Source organism: Homo sapiens, chromosome 7 (assembly GCF_000001405.40).
Source record: "Homo sapiens chromosome 7, GRCh38.p14 Primary Assembly".
NCBI classification, from domain to species: domain Eukaryota; kingdom Metazoa; phylum Chordata; class Mammalia; order Primates; family Hominidae; genus Homo; species Homo sapiens.
This window is the reverse complement of record NC_000007.14, coordinates 38,915,025-38,924,649: the sequence shown is the minus strand read 5'-3', so window position 1 is coordinate 38,924,649 and position 9,625 is coordinate 38,915,025.

Here is a 9,625-nt window from a genome sequence, read left to right as displayed (position 1 = left end):
AGTAGTGGAGTTGCTGAATTATATGGTAGTTCTAGTTTCAGCTTTTTGAAAAACTTCCATTCTGTTTTCCATAATGGCTATACTAATTTACATTCCCACCAACAATGTATGAGTTCCATTTTCTCCGCATTCTTGCCAGCATTTACTTTTTGTCTTTTTGATAATAGTATTTGTAACTGGGGTGAGATAATACTGCATTGTAGTTTTGATTTGCATTTTCCTGATGATTAGCAATATTGAGCATTTTTTCATATACCTGTTGCCCATTTATATGTCTTCTTTAGAGAAGTATCTATTCATGTCCTTAGCCCACTTTTTAGTGCGATTATTTATTTTACTGTTGAGTGATTTTAGTTCCTTGTATATTCTAGATATTAATCCCTTATCAGATGAATAGTTTGCAAATATTTTCTCCCATTCTGCAGGTTATATATTCAAGCTGTTGACTGTTTCCTTTGTCATGCAGGAACTTTTTAGTTTGATGTAGTTTCATTTGTCTCTTTTTGTTTTGGTTTAATAGGTAATTTTTATTGCCATTGTTAAGGCAATAATGGATGACAGTTCTGAAGCCTGAGGCTTTATCAATCAAGTATGGAGTGGGATGGCAGAGAGGGGAGAGTGAGATTCTTTTAGATAAAGCAAACCCTCAGATATTAGAGATAGTTGGACCTTTAGGGCAGGCCAAGTGATTCTGTGTGGCTGGAGAAGAGAGTGGCAGAAAGTGTGGTGGCATATGGGGCTGGAGAGGCAGTGAATATAAATCAATTGTATTTTAACCTAACAGCAATGAAGAATCAATGAAAGATTGTAGGCAGAGAAGTTTACAATCAAATATCTTTTCTAAAATATCATTCTAGATGCAGCATGAATAAACAAGGAGAGGCATGGGGATGGAGAGACCAGTTAAGAGGTTGTTATAATAGTCTAGATGAGGGTCGATAGTGCATTGAACTAGGAAAGATGTGAGAATGGAGGGAAGGGTACAGAGCAAGAAGTTAACAGGTGAAATTAACAGAACTTGGGGACGTGTTGGGATTTGGGAGTATATATGAAGGAGAAAAATCTGAGAAGACTCCCAGCTTTCTGACTTGGGCATGTAGGTGCTGCCAATCAAGAAGAAAAGAAACTCAAGAGAAGATTTTAAAGAATGGATAATTAATTCAGTTTGGGATCTATCCTCAAAAAGGAGAGAATAAAAGAGAAAAATATACAATAATCAATGGCAGCAATCAATTTGAGTCTCTGTGAATTTAGTGAGTATTCTTACACTGTATGTTTAGTTGAACTCTCAATCTTTGCATTCATGTGTTTACTCTTAGTAGATGCTAATTGTTAAATAAATGAATACCATCTGTGTAAATGAGTAGGAGAAAACATGCCTTTTGAAAAATCTTCAAAATAAATTGCATAGTAATAATGTATTATTAGTATTTCTGAAAGGTAAATTAGGATGTTGGACACATTTCATAGATGAAAGAATCCAGTAAAGGGCCCAAAAATTAAATCATGGAACCTCCAGGAAAAATAGCTGCCCCAGATAATCTTTTGCATAGGTGAAATAAGTCTTCCCAGAAGCCTTCCTGCTACAGCCAGTGAGAAAAAACATTTAAACAGACTTTATAATGGCAATATTAACTACATGCCTCCAGCTTTAGTGCACATGAATGCTCAGAGTAAAGGATAGCTTCCTGACACCTAAGTGGGGGCAATGTCAAGCAGGGAGCCAAAGATTCTTTGCTTTGCAAAGAATCCTCATCCTATTTAAAGTTGAGAGAAGACTTTCTGGTTGAAATACATGATATCCACAAGATAGCACAGATCTTGACAGTGGAATTGGGAGTCACTCTGACATAATTTTTTTTTTTGACTCACTCTATCGCCAGGCTGGAGTGCAGTGGCATGATCTCTGCTCACTGCAACCTCCGCCTCCTGGGTTCTCCTGCCTCAGCCTCCCGAGTAGCTGGGACTACAGGCGTGCGTCACCACACCCAGCTAATTTTTGTATTTTTATTAGAGACAGGGATTCACCGTGTTGGCCAGGCTGGTCTCAATCTCTTGACCTCGTGATCCGCCTGCCTTGACCTCCCAAAGTGCTGGGATTACAGGCATGAGCCACCACGCTCAGCCTCTGACATGATTTCTAAGAGGTTCGATGAGGCTAGCTTAATTCGTAGAATTTAGTGTGTGCAAACACAGAAAAGAGCCATTATTGTAGGATGAAAAGACTTTTTGGGTTTGTAGATGCTCTAAAGGCATTGATCTTCCAGCCATTTCCAGCAATGTGGCATTTGGAGCACAGCTTGTAACTTGTTACCAATAAATCCTTTCCCAGATATAAAATTACACTGAAATTACACCAAGTCTGCAAAGAGTATCACTATTTAAGTCTGAGTATTTTCTTCAATCCTGCAGTTTAGCATAAGAGTCTTACATAGTATTTGTAAATTGTGGACCACAGTGCAAACTTAGCAACATTTTAGATCACTAGAAAGAGAAAAGTCTGTAATGCATTCGTTTGTTAGTAGAAAAGGACCAACCATTACAAAATGGGAACTCAAAGGAAGAAGAAATTTAATGCTCTGAGAATAGACTGTGCCTTATTTCGGAAAGGTTGTATTGCAAAAAGTCATCTTCAAGTCTTGGTTTTTCAGTGTTTTATTCCTTTCTATTAAAAAGCAAGAACCTTATCTTCCAACCACATGCCACTTAAACATGGGGAGATGTATTACTTTTAACTCGAATAATACTTATTATATTAGGAATACTCCCAGGGTATTGCAGGTAGGGTTTTTGTTGGCTGGCTGGTTGGCCTCAGGGTTTTTCTCAACACTCTCCGCTTCATAGTGATCCCACCTCCAACAGGGAGTGGGAACCCAAGGCCAGTCCTCTACTGACCTACTCCTTAAACTAGATACTTGAGCCAGTATCTTTGAGGGGTTCAGTATTACAGTTTTTCCTAACTTGAAACTGAACTTCAAAATGGCTCCTGACCCTGAATCTGGCTGATCTGTGATTGCCCATCCAAATCTTGCAAAGAAGGCATTGTAAAGTCAGTTGCTGGCTGGAATTCAGCTAGCATTGGAAGAATGGCAAAGTCCTAGCCTTTGTCAGTGCCACATGCAACTGAAGAAATGTGGCAAGGGAAGATGGGAGTGGCAATTCTACGCATCATCCAATGAGCAAGGAATTCAGCCCTGCTGCTGTCTGTTCTTTTTTTTTTTTTTTTTTAAGACACAGTCTCACTTTGTCACCCAGGTTGGAGGGCAATGGCATGCTCTCAACTCACTGCAGCCTCGACCTCCTGGATTTAAGTAATTGATCCTCCTGCCTCAGCTTCCCCCAACAAGTAGCTGGGACTACAGGCATGCACCACCACACCCAGCTAATTTTGTTTTTTATTTTTTGTAGAGATTCGGTTTCATCATGGTGCTCAGGCTAGTCTCAAACTCCTGAGCGCAAGTGATCTGCCTGTCTCAGTCTCCCAAGGTGCTAGGATTACAGTCATGAGCCACCGCACCCAGCCTGTTTCTGTCTTTTCTAAGACACCTTTCCTTAATCTCTGAGGGCTGGAAACCAAGACTGTTTCCCTGGTTACTGAAGCCCACTTAACTAAAGCAAAGGGCAGGGAAGAGACGATATAAAAATTGCTTGGAGAAGAAAGCCAACTTGTATGTGTGTGCATGTGTATGTGTGTGTGAACACGTCAGTTAAGGCTCTGACAGCATCAGAAAACGAATCTGAACTTGTTTGAACAAAAAGTTTCCTGGGATACCTTATAGAGTCCAAGCATCAGGAAACAGTTTGACCTTTTTCAGTCTTAATTCCAAAAATCTCAGAGAAGGGATGAAGATCAATAAACTATATCTAGGAAGTGGAAAGACTTTGCAGGTACCTTGTATGTGGTGGGCTGGGGGCATAGGGTGGTAGGGAGACAAGTCCTAAAAAATGGGTGCTGTGCAGACAATCCAATAGACTGTCATTACAATGTGTCATAAATGATTAGAACAGGTCTTCTGCACTAGTAGGCCTTCTCAGCTGCAATAAACAGACCCAGGATGGAGAAAAACAGGAGAAAAGAGAGGTCCATCATTTATATCAGCTGATGAAAGCCCACGGTTTTGTTACTCCATGCCCAATCTTATCAAAAAGCCTTTCCCCATCCTTCTTTTCACTTATCTGCACAGAATGACAGGCACTGAAGCACAATGAAAAGGTGGGAGGGTGTCTTTAGAGCGGGGTAATGGAGAAGGAGTAGGAATGAGCTTGTGAGAACAGCAGGAGTAGAACACAGGATCTACAGGAAGCAATGTGAGGGAAAGAAATCAAAGGAAGAGCATTTCTGATGGCCTTGGGAGGGAGTGGGCATTGGGGTAAAGGTGGGGGGAGTTTCTCCAGTAATTTCCAGACGTTTATGTGTCAGAGAAGAAGTTCATGATACATCAGCTGGAGATGTTAGGCCTTGGGTTCTGGTACTGCCACATAAGTATTTTTCTCCAGCAGTTGTCAAACCAGTTAGAAATATTACCCAGGAGTCTAACAATGATGCTCTTCTTTCTTGGGTTCTTCTGGGTATGCTCCCTTCTTAGGGGGACAAGTCTTCCCTATTAATGATTAAAGCCATTTTCTCCTTAAGGCAACAATCAAAAGGCCATAACCTTGGCATTGCATGCAGTTCTAGGCACAAAAAAAAAAAAAAGCCAAAACGTAATTTCTGGGTCAGGGGCTCGTAACTAAGGTTGTTTTTCTATGATAATAATGCCATCAATGGTGGATGAGCCCCCAGGTTGTCACATTCCAGCCTAGCTTATATAAATGAATGCAGTACAGGAGAAACACAATAAAATATAAAACATAAAACTCTATGGTGATTAAGTTTGGTGATTAACTAATGTTCAGGTAAGTACAAAACTATGAAATGGTCATTGTAGGGTACATATTTTATTTTATTACTGGTACTGCAATGGCAATAGTTTGTACTATTTTCCATATCGTGTATAGATTCAACTGTATTATAGATGTAAAAGCTTTCTGGCTCAGAAATAAGGTGCAATTTACTGTTTCTGTAAAAAATTAAGTATTAAGATTTAATCAATTAATATACTGGTTGTGTTAAATTTTGGAACACAATTGATGACTGCCATTGCTTTCACTTAGTGCAGCAAACCCTTCCTCTTCTTCCTCTTTTCTTCTGCTCTTCTTCTTTTTCAATTTTTTCATGTCTTTATGTTAGAAGAAGGCTCTTAACGCCACAAACGTACTTTGAAATTGGACTCTTGCTGAAAAATGGACGTTGTTTCACAAATGATATTTGGATCCAATGGCAGGATGTGTTTAAGTATTTTGTTTCAAAATTTTGATTGAAAATGAAAGATTTTCTATGAAATAATACATTTTTCTGGCACAGCTAAACATCTGGATTCTGAGTAGACTGAATTCATGCTTTAAGTTAAAAATTAGTTTTGTGCTTTTCTGTCAAAAACATGAAAGAAGTTCAGTAAGTGGATTGCACATAAGCATTCTATGTCTGGGGAAAACTCAAACAGATGGTCTTTGAAATATTCTTTTAGTAAACATATAATAGGAATCCAAAGGATGAATAAAATATTTCCCACATTATTCAAAATCACCACATTAGAGTATTGAAGAAGTTTTTTGTTTTTGTTTTTGTTTTTGAGATAGGGGCTCACTCTGTCGCCTAGGCTGGAGTGCAGTGGGGCAATCTCAGCTTACTGCAATCTCTGCCTCCTGGGTTCAAGCGATTCTCCTGCCTCAGCCTCCCAGGTAGCTGGGATTACAGGTGCGCACCACCATGCCTGGCTAATTTTTTGTATTGTAGTAGAGATGGGGTTTCATCATGTTGCCTTGGTCTCGAACTCCTGAGCTCGGGGGATCCACCCACTTCTGCCTTCCCAAGTGCTGGGATTATAGGCGTGAGCCACCACGCCCAGCTCTGAAGGTTTTTTTTTTTTTAACGTATTTCCTGATATTTTTAAAGAATTTTTAAGAGAACTTCAAATGTTTCAGTGACCAAGCTATTCCATTTCTATACATTTTTCCAAGAAAATATTTATAATTTGGAGATATGCACAAGATGCACTGTTCATCACAGCATAGTTTATAATAGTGAAAACTTGAAAGCAACCTAAATATTGAAAAGTGGAGGAGGATTGGTTACATAAATCACAGAAATCAACTCCATGGAAGACTATATAAACGTAAGTACTTATGTAGCTCTATATTATGTGAAATTACATTGTTGATGTATTAATAAGTTTTTTTTATTTGTTCGGTTGGTTGATTTTTTTTTTTTTTTGAGATGGAGTCTCGCTCTGTCACCCAGGCTGGAGTGCAGTGGCGCGATCTCAGCTCACTACAAGCTCCGTCTCCCGGGTTCATGCCATTTTCCTACCTCAGCCTGCCAAGTAGCTGGGACTACAGGCGCCCACCACCACACCTGGCTAGTTTTTTTGTATTTTTAGTAGAGATGGGGTTTCACCATGCTAGCCAGGATGGTCTCAATCTCCTGACCTCGTCATCCACCCACCTCAGCCTTCCAAAGTGCTGGGATTACAGGTGTGAGCCACCGCGCCCAGGCAATAAGTTTTTTAAAAATGCCACAGAACTCTAGAGTGTGATTCAAATTATGTTTAAAACACATAAAGGAAGCCCTTGTATACATATCTGTGGGAAAAAAAATCTGGAAAAATATCCCTCAAAATACTGCAATGAATATAAAGACAAAATTCCTCCTAGGGTCTCTTCTCACTCTTGTTCATTACTGAGTGATATCAGACAGACCATTTATACATTGCCTTTTTCTTTTTAAAAAGACATTAACCTTCTCCATTAATTTCTAATACTTCCCATCTAGACATCCATAAATGTGAAGTATTAACATACTCTGGAGTGTTTTCCAATACCTACAATCAACTCTTGGACTCACTGGACACCAGCTGGGTGTTCAACAACTTAACTCAATTCTGATACTAACCACCCGGGGTTAGCACAGACCCTATAGCTTAAGAGCTCAGTCCCACAAAACTGCCCCCTACTTCAAATGTCAGTTGCAAGTCCTGGGCCTCCTGTGCTTCTGGCCAACCAGGTATAAATAGGAGCTTCCTATGAACCCCTTCTAAGGTTCCATAACTTGTTAGAATGACTCACAGAACTCAGGAAGACACTTTACTTACATTTACCAGTTTATTATAAAGGATACAAATGAACATCCAGATGAAGAGGTACACAGGGCAAGGTCTGGAAGGGTACGGAGCACAGCAGCTTCCGTCCCCATGGGGTACTCCATGCTCCCACTGCGTGGACGTGTTCACCAAATTGGAAACTCATCAAATCTCATTTCGAGAGTTTTTATAGAACTTAATCTCCAGTCTTCCCCGCCCCTCCCTGGGGGGCTGAAAGTTCCAGCCCTATAATCAATTGGTCTTTCTGGTGACCAGTCCCATCTTGCTGCTATATAGGAGCCCCACCCTAAGTCATCTCATTAGTATAAACTCAAGTGTGATAAAAAGGGATTCAATAACAAAATATACTCCTATCACTTGGGAAATTCTAAAGGTTTTAAGTGCTCTGTGCCAGGAACCAGAGATAAAGACCAAATATATTGCTTATGATAGCACACATATCTAGAAGGACGATCACTTATGGGAAATTGCATAGAAAAGGGTAACTGGTAGCATTTTCTAACCTCACTATGAGTAAGATACAGTTCCACGTTCTCTGTAATTGTACAGAAACTAACATTTTTGGGCCATACTCTTTCTTTATGTATAAGAGATTTCTGATAATCACTGCACAGTCTCCTTTGAGAGACTGAGTAAAGGGCGACTCTGCACATTCCCCCAAATTTCTTTTCTTCTTTTTATGAAAACAAGTAAGTCTTGAGAGTGGTCCTGTGCCTCTAAATGAGGATCATGAAAAATGGAACCTGAAGAGGAGACTGCAGTGTTCGTTATGTGTATACTGAAGTGCAGGAAACAAAATAGCAGTACAGCAGTGATAAATACAACTAGGCCCCAGCCTTTGGCAAGGAACTTGACCTACATTTTCTCATTTGTTTTTTGCAACAACCCTGATTGGAAGGTACTTTTAGCCCATTTAATAGCTAAGAATACTGGACTTTGGAAAAGTTAACTTGTCCTAGATTTATTATAAATGGCACACACAAAATTTGAATCCTGATCTGATTCTCAAGCTCTTAAATATCACAATGAACTGGAAAAAAAAATGCAAATTGGTACCCTGGCAGTAATGTTCTTGTCCTATGTCCCAAGATTCCAAAACTTTTATAATCTGAAAATTTGTTCTTCTCACACACGAGCGTGTGATTGCTCCCTTTCTCCTGTGTCAGGTGGGCAAGTAGAAGAATAATAATTTCCTCAGGTGCAGTAGGTGATGTCTTTTGGCTGAGTCATTTCTATTCTCAAAACTCCTCAATGGCTCCCTACCACTGTATCAGTTAGTATTAAGTCTGTCTGCTTGTGATAGGCAAGCTACAATAACACAAGGGATTATTATTTTATTCAAAATGAGTTTGGAGGCTGGGCTTAGTGGCTCACGCCTGTAATCTCAGCATTCTGGGAGGCCGAGGTGGGTGGATCACCTGAGCTCAGGAGTTCAAGACCAGCCTGAGCAACATGGTGAAACCCCGTCTCTGCTAAAAATACAAAAATTAGCCAGGCGTGGTGGTGTACACCTGTAGTCCCAGCTACTCGGGAGGCTAAGGCAGGAGAATCACTTGAGCGGGTAGGCGGAGGTTGCAGTGAGCCAAGATCCTGCCACTGGACTCCAGCCCTGGTGACAAGAGTAAAACCCTGTTTGAAAAAAAAACAAAACATTAGTTTGGAGGCAGGCAGTTTAGAGGAGCGTGTTGGCTTCAGTCATCAGGGACCCAGGCTTCTCCTATCTTTCTGCTTCATCCTTAGAATTTGGTTTTCATCCTCAAGGTCACTTGTGGGACCTGTGTGGTTGCTGGAGAATCTAATGGCAGAAATGGTGAAAGGGGTATCCCCAGATGTCTGTTCCCCTTTAATAGACTTCCCTGAAAGGCACACATAACATTTCCACTTGTATGTCATTGACCAGAACTTAATTACATAGCCATGCCTAACTGTGATGGAGACCAGGAAATGTCTTTTATTTAAACATATTGCTGCCCCTAATATTTTAGGAGTTCTTTTACCAATAAAGTAGAAGTGAATGGATATTAGGCAGGCATTTAGCAGTCTCTGCTACAACTGCCTGTGGAATTATACACAAATTTATATTGACAGACTCTAGCACCATCCTACCTAATTGGTCTTGTATCTGACTCTTTGGATGCTATTCCACATCTTTATGTCTCTTCCTTTTTTTTTTTTTTTTTCTGAGACGGAGTCTTGCTCTGTCACCCAGGTTGGAGTGCAGTGGCAGCCATCTTGGCTCATTGCAAGCTCCACCTCCCAGGCTCATGCCATTCTGCCTCAGCCTCCGGAGTAGCTGGGGCTACAGGCACCCGCCACCACGCCCAGCTAATTTTTTGTATTTTTGTAGTAGAGACGGGGTTTCACCGTGTTAGCCACGATGGTCTCCATCTCCTGACCTCGTGATCTGCCCGCCTCGGCCTCCCAAA